Source organism: Homo sapiens, chromosome 4, assembly GCF_000001405.40.
Source record: "Homo sapiens chromosome 4, GRCh38.p14 Primary Assembly".
Lineage (NCBI taxonomy): Eukaryota > Metazoa > Chordata > Mammalia > Primates > Hominidae > Homo > Homo sapiens.
The window spans coordinates 139,105,466-139,125,441 of record NC_000004.12 but is presented as its reverse complement, the minus strand read 5'-3'; the positions used below and the strand labels follow the sequence as shown (position 1 = coordinate 139,125,441).

General features: G+C 38.4%; 1 protein-coding gene and 1 pseudogene across 18 annotated transcripts in view; both read left to right on the top strand.

Moving 5' to 3' along the window:
• The window catches only part of ELF2 (E74 like ETS transcription factor 2), a 120,696-nt gene that overhangs the window by 52,474 nt on the left and 48,246 nt on the right, over positions 1 to 19,976 (top strand). For 14 of the 18 annotated variants that reach the window (XM_047449740.1, XM_047449741.1, XM_047449737.1 and 11 more), the window contains one exon: positions 113 to 278. In XM_047449740.1, coding sequence (XP_047305696.1) covers positions 113 to 278 — 166 coding nt within the window. Of the gene's footprint in view, positions 1 to 112; positions 279 to 8,634; positions 8,794 to 19,976 lie in introns of those variants that run through there. The other 4 variants (NM_001371337.1, NM_001371338.1, NM_001371339.1 and 1 more) reach the window with 3 other exon arrangements.
• On the top strand, positions 9,903 to 10,709 carry PPP1R14BP3 (protein phosphatase 1 regulatory inhibitor subunit 14B pseudogene 3; annotated as a pseudogene).

Below are 19,976 nucleotides of genomic sequence, written 5' to 3'. Positions count from 1 at the left end.
ATTTGAAACTCATTATGTGGACTGCTCGAGACTGTATTAGTTCAAGGATTTATAAGTGAATTCAGAATTTGTAAATACAAAGGTTGATTGTTCTTTAAATTTGCTCTTATAGGAAAGTGAAAAGGTTTCTGAATATCCAGCAGTGATTGTGGAGCCAGTTCCAAGTGCCAGATTAGAGCAGGGCTATGCAGCCCAGGTTCTGGTTTATGATGATGAGACTTATATGATGCAAGATGTGGCAGAAGAACAAGAAGTTGAGACCGAGAATGTGGAAACAGGTAGACATCTCATAAAATGTTCATTATTTATAACTTTCTCATTTTGTAAGCTTCAACAATACTATTGCCAGATGAAAAATATACTGAAAAACCTTTTTAATGCTATTTAGTATAGCTTGGAAACCAGTGAAACATCTATGTTTAAGGGAATTTGTGTAGATATAAAACTTCTATTGTATAATTCTATGAGGTGTAACAGTCTCATATCATGGACTCTATGCACAAAATTACAGCTTCACATAATGATAAAGTTATTTTATTATTTTTTTTCTGAGAGTATAAATCCTAGCTGTTATTTATACAAGTCAATAGGCTAGTATTATGAGGACAGCTTTTTAAATTAAAAAAAATGGTATTCTATCATTGTCTAATTGATTATGAGTTTCTTTGAGTTAATATTGATGGAGCAATAAGATTTCTTTTCATTAATATCAGAAGCATCATTGTAGTGTTCTATCAGTTTCCTCTTTGCTTTTTGTCGTCTTAGAGATCTTAGTATTTCAGTCTATTTCTGGTGAGATAGCTATATGTTTAATTGGAGATTAGTATCTATAATTCTTAGAGAAATCTTTTAGTTTTTGCCATTGATTATGAAGAAAATAGAGTATTTTATCAGAAGGATTGTAGTGACTCTTACATAATAATAAACATGCAAATGTATCATCTTTAGCTGTTAATGGAGAAAAAGAATCATTATACTTGTTGTTTAATCCTAGTAAAAATTCTTTACTATTTTGATACATTTTTATAAATGTAGGAAACTTTCATGATTAAAATTTTGAGTATGTGATGTATTTCTTCTTATGAGGTCCAGTAGTACCCCTTAGGGCTACTAGCCTCTTCCAGCATAAAACTGTTCTTCCTCTAATTTTATTTTTTGTGGAGCTAAGGGATTGAAAGTTACCTTGCTTTTCAGAGCACTGATGATTGCAGTGCTAGCAAACCTCAGGTATAATGGAAAATTCATTTATCAAAATAGGCAGCCAAGCTGGGTGTGGTGGTGTGCATCTGTACTCCCAGCTACTTGGGAGACTGGGGCAGGTGGCTCGCTCAAGGTCAGGAGCTCAAGTTCAGCCTGGGCAACATAGCAAGACCCCATTTCTAAACAAATAAACAAAAAACCAGGCATCCAAGGACTTCATATGGGCTTCGTGACTGTAGTCTGGAGTGGTATCTGATTTACAGTATATAGTGCATATCTTTTTATGAGAGTTTGGAGAATTTTCCAGTCTGAAGCTAGAAGTATAGTGGCAGAGTTGAATTTTCTTCTTGAGGAAAAGGATAGGTAGAACAGTTAAAAGTATTTTGTAGGATGATGTTTTGGATTATATATTGTAACTGATTTTATTACAAGAGCATAACTAAACAGAACACTAATAGCAGAAGAAAAAAGTATGGTAGCTTAAGTTGAATGGAAAAAAGTAGAACCTGTTTGAAATTTCTGGATGGTGTTTTGGTCAAAAAATAAGGAAAACTATGATTTTGATAGCAAGTTGGAAACTTTAAAAAAGATAAAAACTATAGCACCAAATTTGCATAAGTTAGTAAATTAGGATGTTTATCACATTAAAATACCAGAGCAGATTGGTTGAATCTTATTATTGGTATAATTGACTGTAAATGTTTTATTAATTTAGATTAATTCAAGTAAAACCAATTCAGAATAGGAAGCGAATGTAATCTACTTAAGGGATTTTATTTTCTTAGTCTTCTTGAACTCTGAGGGTAATGATATCATTTGCTGGGCAGAGATATTAGTGATTGTGAAAAGGAGGATATGGGAAGTCTAGGTAAAATAAGTTACTTTTGTGATTTGTTTTTTTTGTAAGTGGTTTTTGAATATTTGATAATTTTAAAATTTACTTCAACACAAAAAGAAAATGTAAGCATATTACTTATATCATTCTAAAATGGTATAAAAGCACCTCAAAAATTCATTGTACATGTTCCATCCTGGCTCACGGATTTTTTTTTTTTTTTTGAGACAGAGTCTCGCTCTGTCGCCAGGCTGAAGTGCAGTGGTGCAATCTCGGCTCACTGTAACCCCTGCCTCCCGGGTTCAAATGATTCTCCTGCCTCAGCCTCCCCAGTAGCTGGGACTACAGGTGCACACCACCACGCCCAGCTAATTTTTGTATTTTTTAGTAGAGACAGGGTTTCACCATGTTGGCCAGGATGGTCTCGATTTCTTGACTTCGTGATCTGCCCGCCTCGGCCTCCCAAAGTGCTGGGATTATAGGCACAAGCCAGCGTGCCCAGCCTGGCTCATGGATTTTAATGTAACTTTATAAAGATTGTTAATATTCATAGATTAGTTTTCAAGTCAGCTAATCTGAGCTTAATATTGTTTCTATTAAGAATCAGGCCGAGCGTGGTAGCTCACACCTGTGATCCCAGCACTTTGGGAGGCCGAGGTGGGTGGATCACGAAGTCAAGAGATCGAGACCATCCTGGCTAACACGGCGAAATCCCATCTCTACTAAAAATACAAAAAATTAGCTGGGCGTGGTGGCATGCGTCTGTAGTCCCAGATACTTGGGAGGCTGAGGCAGGAGACTCGCTTGAACTCAGGAGGTGGAGGTTGTGGTGAACCAAGATAGTGCTACTGCACTCCAGGCTGGGGGACATAGCGAGACTCTGTCTCAAACAAAACAAAACAAAACAAAAACTAAAAAAAGAATCAAATGCATTTTTAAATGAGTTAAAATCTGAATAAGTTTTCATTCTTCTGATATCTAGGGCATATACAAATGAATAAAGATTGGTATGCATATTTCCTTTTAGGTAGTGAATTAGGATTAGGTTCATTTCTTATAATGTAAAATTGAAACTCAGATTACAGATACATGTAGGTTTTAAAGAAGAAGCTGACTGGGAAGAAAAGGAATGCTTATAAGATGGCAGATTTTATTTGGTGAATTGGGGGAATTGAGATCTGTATAGAATACTTCCCTGTGTATGTCTAGGAAAACTTCACAGAATGCTCCTACATTATAATTTAGATTATGTCAGTCTAAAAGATGTTATATTTATTGGCTTGTTCTGACAGTTCTCTGCATGTTCTCATTGGAGTGTTTTTACCCTTTTATTCCTAAATACCCATATGTATGTGTCCATATCATAAACAGTGTTCTATTGTCATTTGTGTTGGAGTACTAAAATCATATTATGATTTGCATGTAGCCATCTTTATTATTTTGCATATAAAAGAATTTCTCTTTTGTTAGTAGGAATTACGAGCTGTTTGTTTCTCCTTTTTGTAGATTAACAGTCTACGTTTCCCTCACAGAGGTTATGTGTAATACTGATGTTCTCTTAAATTGTATAGGAGAAACCAATTCTATTTTGAAACTTTAAAAATAGGCATATTCATCTAAACATATAGTAAATTGCTTGTGATAACAATGGCAGATTAGTAATTATAAAGAGACTTTGAGGAAGAGTGATGAAATATAGGTGAAGGGTGGTCTTGACTCTGGCAGGTATAACATATCTTCCCCAGTGGCTGCAGACTCCATCAGTTCTAGGGGCCTGCTGGATAGACTGGTATGGTGAATGAGGGGAGGGAAGGAGTTTTTTGGATTCACTACAGGAGTTTGAAAGTACAGTTTTTATGTTCACTTTAAAAAATTATAAAAATTATATATAATATAAATTTAAAAGGTTGTTACAAATTACCATTTAACAAGCACCACGTTTATACCAATGAACTCAATAATAAATAAGTGTTGATAGAAATCTTTTAAGACCAGACTAGGCTGGGCATGGTGGTTCACACCTGTAATCCCAGCACTTTCGGAGGCCAAGGCGGGTGAATCACGAGGTCAGGAGATCGAGACCATCCTGGCTAACACGGTGAAACCCCGTCTCTACTAAAAATACAAAAAATTAGCCGGGCGTGGTAGCGGGCGCCTGTAGTCCCAGCTACTCGGGAGGCTGAGGCAGGAGAATGGCGTGAACCCGGGAGGCGGAGCTTGCAGTGAGCCGAGATCGCGCCACTGCACTCCAGCCTGGGCGACAGAGCAAGACTCCGTCTCAAAAAAAAAAAAAAAAAAAAAAAAAAAAAAATCTGTGTTATATTCAAAATACAAAGCAGTCAATAGCCAAATGAGCGTTATTTACAAATTCAAAGGAATTTTCTGAAGAGGGAAGTTCAATTTACAGGATTAGGGAATGTTTTAGAGAAAGTAAAGGACACATGATAGGATCTAGGTGGACAAATAGGAGGTAGGTGAAATGCATTGTAAACTGAGGGAAATATAATTAATAAATGGGTAGACTATTGAAATTCAATACTTGTTCAGAAGATCTTGAGTAAATAAGACATTGGCAGGAGATTTCATTAAGTGCTATGACTAGGTTGTGAATTAAATCTCAAGAGTTAGTAATTAGGCTCATAAGGAAGCAGAAAGATTTGGAAGGTTTTAAGTAGGAAATACTAGGGGGCCAGTACCTTGGGAGGCAGAGGCAGAGGTGGGAGGATCTCTTGAGGCCAGGAATTCAAGACCAGCCTGGGCAACATAGTGAGACTCCATCTCTTAAAAAAAAAATTTAAAAATTAGCTGGGTATGGTGGCGTGCACCTGTAGTCCTAGCTACTTGAGAGTCTGAGGCCAGAGAATCCTTTGAGATTAGAGTTTGAGGTTACAGGTGAGCTATGATTGTAGTACCACTGCGCTCCAGCCCGAGTGACAGAGTGAGCCATGTCTCTAAAAAGAAAGTACCATGCAATTAGTATTTCAGTTGGATATAGGATTAATTGTAGGGGGAAAGATGAGACAGGAAGACTAGCTATTGTAGTATGAGTTGAAGGATGGCTTGAGAAATATTAAAACAAGGTAGTAGCAACAGGAACAGAAAGGGCTTGTATAAACCATATTACTATATATTATCTTACATGACATATAAGGGGAGAGGCACAGTTAGGTAAAATATTCTGCTTTTTGACGCTTGTTCATGGTGATGGTAGCACATATGATTTGAGGAAGGCAAGACTGATGAAGCAGATAAGTTTGGTAATAGTCATGATGATTTTGAGTTGAAGCAGAACTTTAAAGATGAATATTTAGGTATTTAAAGATGCACAAATGTGGCCGAGTGCAGTGGCTCATGCCTGTAATCCCAGCACTTTGGGAGGCCAAGGCAGGCGGATCACTTAAGGTCAGAAGTTCGAGAGCAGCCTGCCCAATGTGGTGAAACCCCATCTCTACTAAAAATACAAAAATTAGCTGGGTGTGGTGGTGCACGCCTGTAATCCCAGCTACTCAGGAGGCTGAGGCAAGAGAATTGCCTGAACCGGGAGGTGGAGGTTGCAGTGAGCTGAGATCATGCCACTGCACTCCAGCCTGGGCAACAGAAACTCCATCTCAAAAACAAACAATCAGATAAACAAAAAAGATGCACAAATGTGTAGTCAAGATCCCATCACAAAAGAGATGGCATGCTAAAATTAGGATAATTTAAGGAATGTTTTAATAAAGGGCTAGTTACAAACATGTAGGCAAATATAAGGTACCCGTAAGAGACAGGGCAGTACTGCAGACCTAGCAATAATTGCTGTTTCTGTCCTTTGGCTCATGGGCCAAGGGGAAGGAAGGGTGACCAGAATCCTGAAGAATAGAGCCCTGAACAGGGAGTCACCTTGGGAGATTCTGAAACCTTTGATCAAAGGACACAGCTAGCTGGAGGGCAATACCTCTTCCCAATAATATCCTGCTAAGGTACGCCATTGACCAAACTCAGTCTGAAGCCATAGGAATCCCGTTGATGAAGTCAGTCTCCAGGGACAGAGAGCAAGGTGAAGAAGGGTGGAGAATAAATCTGGAGGGGCAAATGGAAGATATCTAGTACAACTAAAGCTTAGTAAAGAAAGGTCAGGGAGAAACTGATTTGGGAATCATCCTCATTTAAAGCCGTGGAAATAAATTTCCGAGGGGAAACGTATTTCATAGATTTTTCCCAAGGAAGGAGATACGTAAATTCTATATTTGTCTCTCTGTGATGGAGAACAAAGGACATAGAATTAAGGAATTAACCTTAGAGAATGTTTACATTTTAAAGAGTGGAGAAGAATCAAAGAGTAGTCAAATATGATAGAAAATCCTGGGCGACTATTTCTGAGTTTTGTTTTGTTTTGTTTTTTTGCCCTTTAAGTAGCTCTCTTTAGTAGGAAAGGGAAGAATATTGACTTGGGTTAGTTAGTTCTGATTTTCAAATTTCCCCTTTATCACTTACTTGGCAGTATTTAACCTTTTCAGAGTGTTTCACTGTCAGAAAATAGGAATTCAGGGTTGTGAAGATTACATAAAATAAATACATAAAGCACAGTGCTTGTGACAGAGTTTCTTTAACTTCATTAGCACCTTCCCTGTGACTTCAAGTATAGACAGGACTTTTATACATTAGAATGGAATATTTGTTTAACTTTGTTTATGTCTCTTGTTTTCTCCTTCCTTTTGCTTCCACTTAAAAAAAAAAAAACAAATGCTTTATACCTTCAGTTTATACTTTTTCCTTGTCATTCCTTCCTTGATTATTGTGCTCTGGCATCTCCATTTATCATTCTACTGAAGCTCTTTATCAGATTTCGGTGGCCACTCTTCTGTCAAATTCAGTGACCCATAGAATCATCCAGAAGTAATCCTTCATAATCTGGCTGCCTTATCTGCTGAAACACTGTATTCTCCTAGTTATTTTTCTTGTTGACCTTTGCATGGATTGTACTATTTATGCTTCTGAGTGTTTGCTCAAAGACAGTTTCCTCCTATCTATAATGTGCTCAGGTAGGTATTAGCCATCTTTTAAGGCCCAACTACATGAAGATTTCCACAATGATTGTGGTCTACAATAAACATCCCCTTACCTGATCTGTTATACCATCTGGATATAGGTACTTTCTTGTATTATTTTATTATTTTTATCTATTATTGCTTATATTATTTTTGTTGTATATACTCCTATTGTTTTCCCAGTGAGTGTATAAGCACCTTGAAGACGGAGACCATACTTTTTTCTTTTGTTAAATATACTGTTGAACATATAATAACTAGCTGGAAAATACAAATGGAAACAGATTGAGTTCTGAGTTAGTATTGTAGTATAATCAAGAACCATCTATGTAAAGTCATACTTAAGTCTCATTTTAAAAATCACAGTTGGTATCCATCATTCTTGCTTATATCTAATAATTTGATTTTTCTTTTTTTTTTTTTGAGGTGGAATCTCACTCTGTCACCCAGGCTGGAGTGCGGTGGTGTGATCTCGGCTCACTGCAACCTCCGCCTCCCGGGTTCAAGTGATTCTCCTGCCTCAGCCTCCCAAGTGGCTGGGACTACAGGTGTGTGCCACTATGCCCAGCTAATTTTTGTATTTTTAGTAGAGACGGGGTTTTACCATGTTGGTTGGCCAGGATGGTCTTGATCTCTTGACCTTGTGATCTGCCTGCTTCGGCCTCCCAAAGTGCTGGGATTACAGGCGTGAGCCACTGTGCCCGGCTCACTCTCTTGCCTAGGCTAGAGTGCAGTGGCACTGCAACCTCTGCCTCTTGGGTTCAAGCAATTCTTGTGCCTCAGTCTCCTCAGTAGCTGGGATTACAGGCACTCACCACACCTATGTGGCTAATTTTTGTGTTTTTGATAGAGACGGGGTTTCTCCTTGTTGTACAGGCTGATCTCGAACTCCTGGCCTCATGCGATCTGCCTGCCTCAGCCTCCCAAAGTGCTGGGATTACAGGCCTGATTTTTTTCTTAAAAGCAATACATGCTTAATGGAAAAAATTGGAAAGTATTGCAAAGAATAAGCAAACTGAAAATCATCACCCCTAATCTTACCAACAAGGAGACAATGATTGTTGCTTTTTAAAAAAACATTTCCTTTTAGTCTTTTAAAAAATGCATTTTAATCGTAAAATATTATATAATACAAGCAGACTGATTAATCTTTGCTAATTTTAATAAACATTGGCTGTCAAGTGGTCTGGTTGGTAGCTTCCTACTTCTGTCTTCTGACCACTGGGGACAGGACTTTGCTCCTTAACCACGTATCAAGACATTAACATTTAGTCTTATTAGTTAATTATCAAGAAAACTTAAACCATTTTTAGTGATCAACAAAATTGTGTTTAAACATTAGTTGAAAAGATGGATGATGATGAGAATTTTTATATAATTCAACGAGAAAGCAGTGCTTTTTAAAAATAAAAATGAAAGTTTAGGTTTTTAAAATGCAGTTTAAAAAATAAAACCAGATTTCCTTCATGAAAAATAAGATAAGGAGCCAAATTTCTTTCTTGAAGAATCTCAGGACTAATTTGACTTCATGATGAGCTGTCATAACTTTTGTATTTGTTATACCATCAGAAATCCTCCCTGTGGCACAAAAGGACTCCTTTAATTAGAAAATATTGTTGCCACAGGGAGGTAGAAGATCGACATGAAAAACTGGGGATCTGAAAACGAGCCCCTATCCTAGGATTACCTGAAGGTGAAACAGATTGAGCCAGAAGGAAGACAATGCTGGTAGGTTGGTTTTTAATTTATTAAGAATGTTTGTAATTTTATATTTCATTAAAATTATTTCATCTACCTTTACCATATTTTTGTTTAAAGGGTGACAATGATTCCTCCTTAAGGAAGGAGAAGTAATACGATAATATTTTTCCTCCAAGATAGTTTGCTGAATTATCCCTTGCCATATTCTTAATATTTGTTTCTTTTTATAGATAAAGCTCTGGGGCTATTTCATGCCTCTACTTCCTTGGAAGCTACTATTGACTGAACGTCTTTAAGTCATTTTTTTTTTTTGTCATTTCTGTTGGTTTTGCTTCTAATCTACATCTTTTCCTAAATTTTTAATAAGTGTTTTTTTCCCCCAATTATTTATTTTCTTGAGGTTAGCCTAGCCCTAAGTTTTCTAAAATGGTAAAATGTGAATCTTAAGTTCATTTAGCTTTTACTCTAGAATTGTTTGAATTGTAATTGTACTGTGATTTAGATCAGACAGTATTATTAGATAAAAGATTTTAATACTTTAATAACTATCAGCCAGGTATAGTGGCTCAAGCCTGTAATCCCAGCACTTTGGGAAGCCGAGGTCAGGAGTCCAAGACCAGCCTGGCCAACTTGGCAAAACCCCATCTGTACTAAAAAATACAAGAAATTAGCCAGGCGTGGTGGTGGACGCCTGTAATCCCAGCAACTGGGGAGGCTGAGGCAAGAGAATCGCTTGAACCCAGGAGGTGGAGGTTGCAGTGAACTGAGATGGCGCCACTGCACTCCAGCCTGGACAACAGACAGACTCCGTCTCAAAAAACAAAACAAAACAAAACAAAAACAACAACAAAAAACTATTCCATTTAGCCTGAGATGCTATCAATGGTAAGAAACATTATTTTTATACCACTAAAGGAAAAAATGCTGCCAAATATAAACTTTTAAGAGACTATCAACTTTAAGATAGGTACTGATTTCAGAGATGTCAAATGTGAAAAAATGTGTATCTTGGGATTAATGAAATATGATTTGCAATTATGAATCTTTCCTGAAACTCTCATTTACTGGGAATTAAACATTAAAATATGAGGCCTGTGAAAAATGGAGGTGAGTTGTGGTATAGAAATCCATGTCAGGGGGCGCGGCCAGGCCAGGCCCGGGGGCTCCGCATGCTGCAGCTGCCCTCGGGCACCCCCGCCGCTGCCCTCGCCGCGGCGAGCTAACCCCAGCCAGCCGGGGGCGTCCCGGAGGCGGTGGCGCAGGGAGGGGCCCGATGCGCGCACGTGGCCCCGGCGGCCGCCATGGCGGACAGCGGCACCGCGGGGGGCGCGGCGTTGGCGACCCCGGCCCCCGGGCCGGGCAGTGGCGGCCCAGGACCACGCGTCTACTTTCAGAGCCCCCCCCGGGACCGCAGGAGAGGGCCCGGGCGGCGCGGACGATGAGGGCCCAGTGAGGCGCCAAGGGAAGGTCACCGTCAAGTATGACCGCAAGGAGCTACGGAAGCGCCTCAACCTAGAGGAGTGGATCCTGGAGCAGCTCACGCGCCTCTACGACTGCCAGGAAGAGGAGATCCCAGAACTGGAGATTGACGTGGATGAGCTCCTGGACATGGAGAGTGACGATGCCCGGGCTGCCACGGTCAAGGAGCTGCTGGTTGACTGTTACAAACCCACAGAGGCCTTCATTTCTGGTCTGCTGGACAAGATCCGGGGCATGCAGAAGCTGAGCACACCCCAGAAGAAGTGAGGGTCCCCGACCCAGGAGAACGGTGGTTCCCACAGGACAATCGCTGCCCCCCAACCTCGTAGCAACAGCAATACCGGGGGACCCTGCGGCCAGGCCTGGTGCCATGAGCAGGGCTCCTCGTGCCCCTGGCCCAGGGGTCTCTTCCCCTGCCCCCTCAGTTTTCCACTTTTGGGTTTTTTTATTGTTATTAAACTGATGGGACTTTTTGTGTTTTTATATTGACTCCGTGGCGCGGGCCCTTTAATAAAGCTAGGATACGCCTTTGGTGCAAAAAAAAAAAAAAAAAAGAAAGAAAAAAAAAATCCATGTCAGTGCTGAGCATGCTCCTAAATTGTGTGTGTGTGTGTGTGTGTGTGTGTGTGTGTGTGAGACTGAAGTCTCGCTCTGTTGCCAGGCTGGAGTGCAGTGGCGCGATCTCAGCTCACTGCAACCTCCCGGGTTCAAGCGATTCTCCTGCCTCAGCCTCCTGAGTAACTGAGATTACAGGCGCGCACCACCACACCTGGCTAATTTTTGTATTTTTAGTAGAGATGGGGTTTCACCATGTTGGCCAGAATGGTCTCGATCTCCTGACCTCATGATCTGCCTGCCTTGGCCTCCCAAAGTGCTGGGATTACAGGCGTGAGCAACCATGCCCCGGCCTCTAAATTCTTTGATGTCTTTTAAGAGAGGACATTTAAGTAAAAAAATCATATAACCATATTGTTTAAAATTATACAAAATAACCATAAGGTATCAAATTATGGAGTATATAGAAAAAGAAAATCTATTTTAATATGACATATTTACTTCAATAGAGTGTTATCCTAATTGAATATCACTTAATTAGTATAACTTTGAGATCTAAAAAGAAAATGAAATGAAGCTTCTGCTTTTTAAGCTGTCATTTAAAAACAGGATCCTTTAAGGGCTCGTTAAAATAGCACGATTTTTAGTGCACTTGAATATATGTTTTACAGATTATTAATTATGTGAAGGAGAAAATAGTGGCCAAAAGCAAAGACCTACTCTGTCAATTAATAAAGCAGAAATGAAAAGGAATGATTTTATTTACTTTTAATTTTTTTTTTTTTTTGAGACATGGTCTTTCTCTGTTGTCCAGGCTGGAGTGTAGTGGCGCAGTCTTGGCTCACTGCAACCTCTGCCTCCCGGGTTCAAGCGATTCTCCTGCCTCAGCATCCTGAGTAGCTGGGATTACAGGTGCCCACCACCAGGCCTGGCTGATTTTTGTATTTTTAGTAGAGACGGGCTTTCACCATGTTGGCCAGGCTGGTCTCAAACTCCTGACATCAAGTGACTCGATCTGTCCTCCTTGGTCTCCCAAGGTACTGGGATTACAGGCATGAGCCATTGCGCTCGGCCAATTTTTTTTTGAGACAGGGTCTCTGTCACCAAGACTGGAGTGCAGTGGCACGATCTTGGCTCACTGCAAACTCTGCCTCCCAGATTCAAGTGATTCTCCTGTCTCAGCCTCCCTAGTAGTTGGGATTACAGGCACCCACCACCGCGCCCTCCCAGAGTGCTGGGATTACAGGCGTGAGCCACTGCACTCAGCCAATTTTATTTTATTTTGAGACAGGGTCTCTCTTTGTCACCCAGGCTGGAGTGCAGTGGTATGATCATGGCTCACTGGAGCCTTGACTGTCCCGGCTGTAGTGCTCCTCCCACCTTAGCCTCCCTAGTAGCTGGGACTACAGGCAAATGCCACGACACTCAGCTAACTTTTTTATTATTTGCAGAGACAAGATCTCAGTATGTTGCCCAGGCTGGTCTCATACTACTGGGCTCAAGCAATTCTCCCACCTTGGCCTCCCACAGTGCTGGGATTATAGGCATGAGCTACCTTGCCTAGATGAAAAGGAATGATTTTAGATGATGTTTGTATACCAAGAAACATCTGTTTTATGTAAAAGGAAAGAAAAGTATATCTAGACGATAGATCATTAAAAGATATTTGTTTGACTTTGGAAACTAGTAGCCATTCATTCCTTTGTATTCAGAGAGACTTAAAAAATTTTTTTTATTTATCTTTTTTGATACGGAGTCTTGTTCCGTCACTCAGGCTGGAGTGCAGTGGTGCAATTCTGGCTCCCTGAAACTTCCGCCTCCTGGTTCAAGTGATTCAGAGAGACTTTTTAAAGAAACACTAGTTAACTTTTAATTTTGCTATACATCTCCGAGAAACACCCAAGAATGATCAATAAATACTAAAAAAATTAAAAAAAAATTTTTGCTATACAACAGTGTATCTAAATAATACAGTTTTATTAATTCAGACTGAGGAGAAGGCTAACTGTGGATTATATAGAATTTTAAATGAGTAGCAAACAAGGTTACAAGTGTTGCCAAGTAGAGATAGTTTTTAAGATTTTCTTAGATGTACAAATACGAATGCTTTAACACATATCCCTAGGCAAATCCATACCTCCATTCAGCCATCTGTCAGTGCTTACTGAGGACCTGCAATGTCCCAGCCTCAGAGCTGAATATCTTGTGGTAAACAAGACCCTCTCTTTGCCCTCACCAGGCTTTCAGCTATGTGTAGAAGATGAACAATTTATTAAACATGTTATTATGATAAAATGTGATGAGAATTATGATAGGATTAATTAAAAGTTTATGGGAGTAAACAGCAGGAGAATGCCTTCCTGAGGATGTGACATCTGAAGTAATTATTCAGGCAGAGAATAGCAAGGTTGAAAGTCTGGAGGAAGAAAAACAAGGCTATCTGAGTTGCTGAAAGAGATTCAGTAGGGCTAGATATGAATTATGAGAAAGAAAGGGGATTAAAATGAGGTGTAAGAGGCAAAATAGAAAAAAATCTTATTGCTGAGGGCTTTTAAAGCTTTGTATCTGTTTCTTGGATCAGATAAGTCTAAAGGGCAGTGAGGAGCCTTTTAAAAGTTTTGAGCAGTTTTGAAAAATACAAATTTAGTTTTTTTCAAAATAGTAAGTGCTGTAAATGAAAAAAGGAATAGGACAGTCAAAGAATTACTTAAAGTCTGAACTCCTTGGTTTCTCATTCATAGCTCCCTGATATCTAGCTAACTGTTCTTTTTCACCTTCCACTAAGTTGTCTACCTCTCCAGATTTGGGGTATAGGTGTGCTCATTGCCTACACTAAGTTAAAAGTAGTAGAGATTAAAATAGTTGCTCAGCCAGCCTTTCTTTTTGGAGTTAACAAGGTAGATGCTTTGTACGGTGTTGTTTCAGGAGGAGGAATCATTGTCTCTTATCCATTGTCCATGCCCATTTGTATAAACTTTTGGGTTTTTCCAGGACCTGGGCGAGACTCAAAACAGCGAGTCCTGATTGAATGCCATGCCTATTTGTTGAATTTGTTAGGTATTTATCTAGGCTGGTGGCCTTTAAGTCAATTGTGTAATAGGAATATTATTTTATATTGAGACCTTGTCTGTACAAAAAAAAAAAAAAAAAGGTTGGTATGGTGGCATGGACCTGTAGTCCCAGCTACTCCTTGCAGTCCCAGGAGTTCAAGGTTGCATTGAGCTGTGATGGCGCCACTGCTCCAGCCTGGGCAAACAAGCAAGACCCTGTCTCCAAAAAAAAAAAGTATATCATTTTGATCATTTGGACTAGACAGCGTAAGTTAATATATTTCTTTTGGTCTTGATGTCTTTGAGGACTAACTTGTAAGTAAAAGTTATCTTGAAACTCTATCTGTATTTTCAGCGCTGCATACAAACAACTGCTGGTTTTTATTTCCACTGGCATCATCGACAGTGTTCTAGGCCTTAGGTGTCATAGTAGATACCATAAAGAGAATTATATACAGAAGAGCTATGATTTGAGCCTTTGCAACTAAATATATATCAAAGGGCTTTATAATGGATTTTTTTTCTTTTTAAAAAATGTAATACACAATATTTAGAATATTCTAAAAAACTGAAAAATTCAACTAATAAGTATGTACTACTAAAATTAATAAAATATTGGCAGCAGTGTTAATTTAAATACATCTTATGTTCCCGAATTTAATTTTCCCCTTTCCTTCTTCCTTAAGATAATTACTATCCTGTTTATTAATGATATAATGGAATATTTACAATAGAAGTATGGAAGATTCCGGATATGTGTGTTTTTTAATTGCCAAAAAGAAGTGATCTTTTAGTTTAACAACAATTGTTTTGGAGTAGGTTGGCCTATTAGTGACAAGTTCTCATTTTTATAGGGATTTAGATAAAGATTCAAATCATAGCTCCTAAGCAGTGCAGTTGTTTAAGATGGAATGAGAGGTTGTGAGTATCTTTACAACTGGAGATTTTAAAGCAAGAACTAGAATGCCACTTAGGGATATTGTAAAGAGAATTCAAGTGTCAGGTAGGTGTTCAAACCAGATTTCTTTATAATTTTCAATTCTGAGATGCTGTTTTTTAATAACTTCATTCTGTAAAAGCATGAAAAAATATGATTGTCTATGATATGGTTGTCAGTTCAGTCTCCGGATTAGAAAGGTGTTTCATGAAACAAAGATTAGTTTTTTTTTAGTACCCAGGTTTTATCTTTAGTTAGTTTTATTCCATGGCCATTCTCAAACATTTTGTCCCTGGATAGCTGCCTTACAGATGTCTGTCTTTGGTCACAACAGGAACTGGGCAAGAAAATGTGACGTAAGCCCATCATATTGTTTTGGGGGAAGGACCAGGACCCCAGAGCATGTGCTCTGCTATGGTCAGCAGCTTTATCTTATTTTGCCACTTTAAGAGTCTTAATCTTGTTATTGTGATTAGGTAGTTTTTTCTTCTTTTACACCAATAGCACAGACATAGCTTTGAGTGTAAATTTCTTAAAAGTTTTTCTGATTAGTTGATATGGCTAGTACTTAGAAGATGCTTACATCAAAAAATAGCGTTCTTTTTCAAAGCGATTTCTAATATACAATATTAATTATAACACAAAAATATTTTTTAACGTTTCTTTTTATTTTAGATTCAGGGGGTACATGTGCAGGTTTGTTACGAGAGTATACTGCATGATGCTGAGGTTTGGGCTTCTATTGATCCCATCACCCAGATAGTGAACACAGTACACGTGGGAAGTTTTAAAAATATCCTTGCTCCTTTCTCCCTCCCTCTGTTCCTCCCTCCCTCCTTTTGGAATCCCCAGTGACTGTTATTCCCATCTTTATGTATTTTGTGAACCCAAAATTTAGCTCCCACTTGTAAGTGTGATATTTGGGTTTTTGTCTGTGCGTTAGCCTCCGGCTGTTCCATGTTGCTACAAAGGACACGATTTCATTCCTTTTTATGGCTGTGAAAAATGGGTTTTTCATTAAATAAGTTTAGAAAATGCTGGGTGAAGGAAAATTAAACAGATTTATTTACAGGAAGACTTCTCAGATGTTTTAATATGCAAATGTGATTCTAAAGAAGAGGTATCTCTTTTAAGAGATTATCTCTTAAGACTAAATGTCTTATAGAACAGCCTTATACCTTTAGAGCAGGACCACCTGGCTTGTTAGTACTACTTTGGCACAGTCATAAATAGCCAAGGGACTAAAATTCTCATTTAATAAACTGTATTATATTTAGCCTTTTACCTCATTAAGTCTGCTGCTTCTTAATGCTGCTCGTCTCATGCCGTGGTAGTGCATTTTTCTCAACTAGGTTTTAATTTTTTAATTTTGTAAATCAGACAGTTAAATACTGTGGGTTAGGAGTACTGGCCAGACCCCAAGTTGTCTTACATTAGTGACCAGAAATAATTGTTGGACCAAGAAACTAAAATGTTGTTAGCTTTACTTTTTGAAATTATTGAAGCATCTTCCTGAAAAAAAAAATAAAGTTAGATTTATACCAGCAGGTTATTTGTGGCAATGATGCTTGTTTACTATGCTCTCCTTAAGGTATATGAGGGCTTTTTCAGGGAGATAACATAGTATCTTTGGCAGAAGATACTTTCCATGATGTTTTTCTTTAAATAAAGAAGAGTTGCTATGATGCCTCCTCATTCGATCATTGCATCAGAGTTACTCTTAACAGTTCTAGACACGGGGCAGGAAGCATACTTATTTGGGCCCCGGATCTTAAAATGTTCAGATGTGTGAGTTTGAAGGTTGTTCTGTTCCCCTCGTTTGAGAGTCTTCTGTGACCTTCCTTAACAACCAGTTCTTCGATTCTTTTATTTTTTTTTCTACCCACGGACATTTACCTGTTTAATAAAGACAAGTCTGTTCTCAGAGCAGGGTATGTTTTGTTGCCTTCTTATCCATTAACCACCTCCCCACAACCCTAGTCTGCTATTTTGAGTGTGCTTTTTAGTCATTCTGTGGCATTTTTAGAAAGCACAGAATTTTTTTTTTTTTTAGAATATGAATGGATTTTAGGGTAATCTAGTCCACCTCTTCAAAAGAGCTAGTTAGCAATGGAGCAGGTCCAGAAACCCTGGTCTCCTGATTGCTAGGATGGGACTGTTTCTGTTCTAGAGTGCTGCTTTGGGGCCTGAGAGATTCTGTAGTTTTTGTTTTTTAATAAGCTTCCATAACATAGTTATTAATAAAATGTTCTGAATTTCCATTTTGCTACCATAAATCAAAAGAGAATTGTGTCTCCCTTCTATCGTTAATTTAATCTGTATAACCTTGAGGAAGCCACTTACTTTCTGTTAGTACGAGTTTCCTCATCTGCAAAATGAAGAATACAGTAGTTATCTCTCACTGTTCTGAAAACTAATAATAAGGTATTCCCAGTGTTAAGCATGGTGCCTGGCATGAAGAAAGCTCAATACATTCTTCATACTGCTGCTAGTATAAGTTTTCTAAAATGTACTTTGTCATTTCTTTTTTAAAAAATTTAATGACAGCCTATCATCGACAAATTGATTGTCATTTTCTTTCATAAAGCCCTTGTATTAATTATCATGACATTCTGGATAAAATCAAATGCCTTAAAGATACACATTCTCACCTTTTCAGTTTTAGCTCTTACCATGCCTTTTTTTTTTTCTCTTCTCCTGGCTCTCTAGCTTCCACAACTTGGTAAGGTTTACACTTTGCCTAAAAACTCAGCCCCTCTGTTTTTATCTGTGATCAGACATTTCTCTAGGAAGGATTTCTTGATCTTTCCGGTATTTATCAGTTTTATCATGTGGTGCTATCCCATACTTGTGAGAGTTGTTATGTTATATTTGGTATGTGTATCATATTACCTTTCCAACATTCACATGTTTCTAAATCTAGAATACCCAAATGTTTAGTACAAGAAGATTAAGGGAGTTACTAATAGAAGTCTGTTTAGCTATTGAGAGGTGCTTTTTTTTGATTCCCCTAAAATGTGAAAATTCCCTGATTGCATGGTAAAGATGCCTCTCTGTCTCTTTTAACTATAGTTATTAGCTGTTGATTGTTATTACCCTTGGTGTTGTGTTTTAGTTTGATTTTTTTGTATTTTTAAAATTGGTTTATAATCGTACATATTTTGGGGTACGTATGATATTTTGATACATATATATAATGTGTGATGATAAAGTCAGAGTAATTGGGATATCCATCACCTCAAACATTTATTGTTTTGTTTTAACAAGAGGTTTTTAACACAAATATGTTTCAAGGAGGTGGTAGTAGTGGTGAAGAGGGTAGTTGTCTGTGAATGTCTATTTATAAAGAGGCCTATCACTCAGAGGGGGTCAACAGAACTTTTAATAGCTCTTACCTGTTAAATTTTGTAAGGTTTTCCTTTGTTTTTTTCCTTTTTTAAATTCAGTGGTCAGTTCTTAGATTGTAAGGTTTTTCAACCTTTTTGTGTCATGAACCTTTTTGGCCATAGGGTGAAGCCCATGAACTTTCTCTCGGAGCATTGTTTTAAAATATAAAGTAAAATATCTAGGATTAAAAAGGAACCATATATATTGAAATATAGTTATCAAGGCTGGGCATGGTGGCACACGCCTGTAATCCCAGCACTTTGGGAGGCCGAAGCAGGTGAAACACCTGAGGTCAGGAGTTTGCAACCAGCCTGAGTAACGTGGTGAAACCCCTTCTCTGCTAAATACAAAAAAAAAATAGCCAGGCATGGTGGCGCATGCCTGTAATCTGAGCCGCTTGGGAGGCTGAGACAGGAGAATCACTTGTACCTGGCAGGCGGAGGTTGCAGTGAGCCGAGATCAAGCCATTGCACTCCAGCCTGGGCAACAAGAGCGAAACTCTATCTCAAAAAAAAAAAAAAAAAAAAGAAATATAGTTATCAAACTATTTTAAATTGTGATATATATCAATGCATGTGTTTCTGTATTAATATATTAAATAATGAGATCTAGTGACAGATATAATTTACTGCTATAATTTCAAAGTAGTGACAACCATAAATTATATAGAGCGAGACCCTGTCTCAAAGAAAAAAAAAACCGTAATATGATATGAAAATATCTGTGATTTATATTGGTCATGAAGTCACAGATACTACTAAAACAACTGTGGTTTGTGCTTTTATTTAAAACGAAAGAGCTAAATTTTAGTTAGAAGCTAAAAAACTATTGTTCCCAGGTCTCACCCATGTATTATTTTAACTGTCATCTACCTTTTTTTTCATCATCCTTTCTTCCTCTATGTTCTGCCCTACTTCCATTCTCTTTTCTCTAATAATCCATACTAGGGATCTGAAAGCCAGTTTAAATATGTCACATTTTAAGTACAGTTTTATGATCCCTGCTGTATTCTTTTTTTAAAGGAAAAAAAGCCTCTCAGTCATGTAGTGGTAATTTTTCATATTCGTTAATGGAGTGAGAATTTAATTTCTTTGGCTGAACATTTAATATATTTCTTTAAATGTTTATTAAATATTTTAATGACCTCTTTGTTGGTTTAAGATCCCTTCTATCTCCATGACAAAAATTTCCATGGCCAATGGTTCTTAAACTTAAGCATACATAAGAATTATCAGAAGGGCTTGTTAAAATACAGATTGTTGGACCCATCCCCAGGACTTCTGATTCAGTGGATCTGTGGTAGAACTGGAGAATTTGCATTTCTAACAAGTCCCTAGGTGATAAGGCTGCTGTTGGCCAGGGATCGTTATTATTTTGAGGCAGGGTTTTACTCTGTTGCCCAAGATGGAGTGCAGTGGTGTCATTATACCTCACTGCTACCTTGAACTCCTGGGATTAAGCAGTCCTCCCACCTCAGCCTCCCAAGTAGCTGGGACTACAGGTGTGAGCCACCACACTCAGCAATTTTTTTATCATTTCTTTTTTGGTAGGGATGGAATCTCTGTATGTTGCCCAGGGTGGTCTCAAACTCCTGGCCTCAAGTGATCCTCCCACATTGGCCTCCCAAAGTGCTGAGATTACAGGCATGAGCCACAGTGCCTGGCCAGGATCATTTTTTGACAATCATTATCCCTAGAGTGTTGGAAATGACAGCACAGAAAGGGAGTTTCTGCCATTGTTAAAATTCAGTTAACTCTGTAGTTTCTTACTATATTATACCCATCATAAAAAATTGTTTTGGG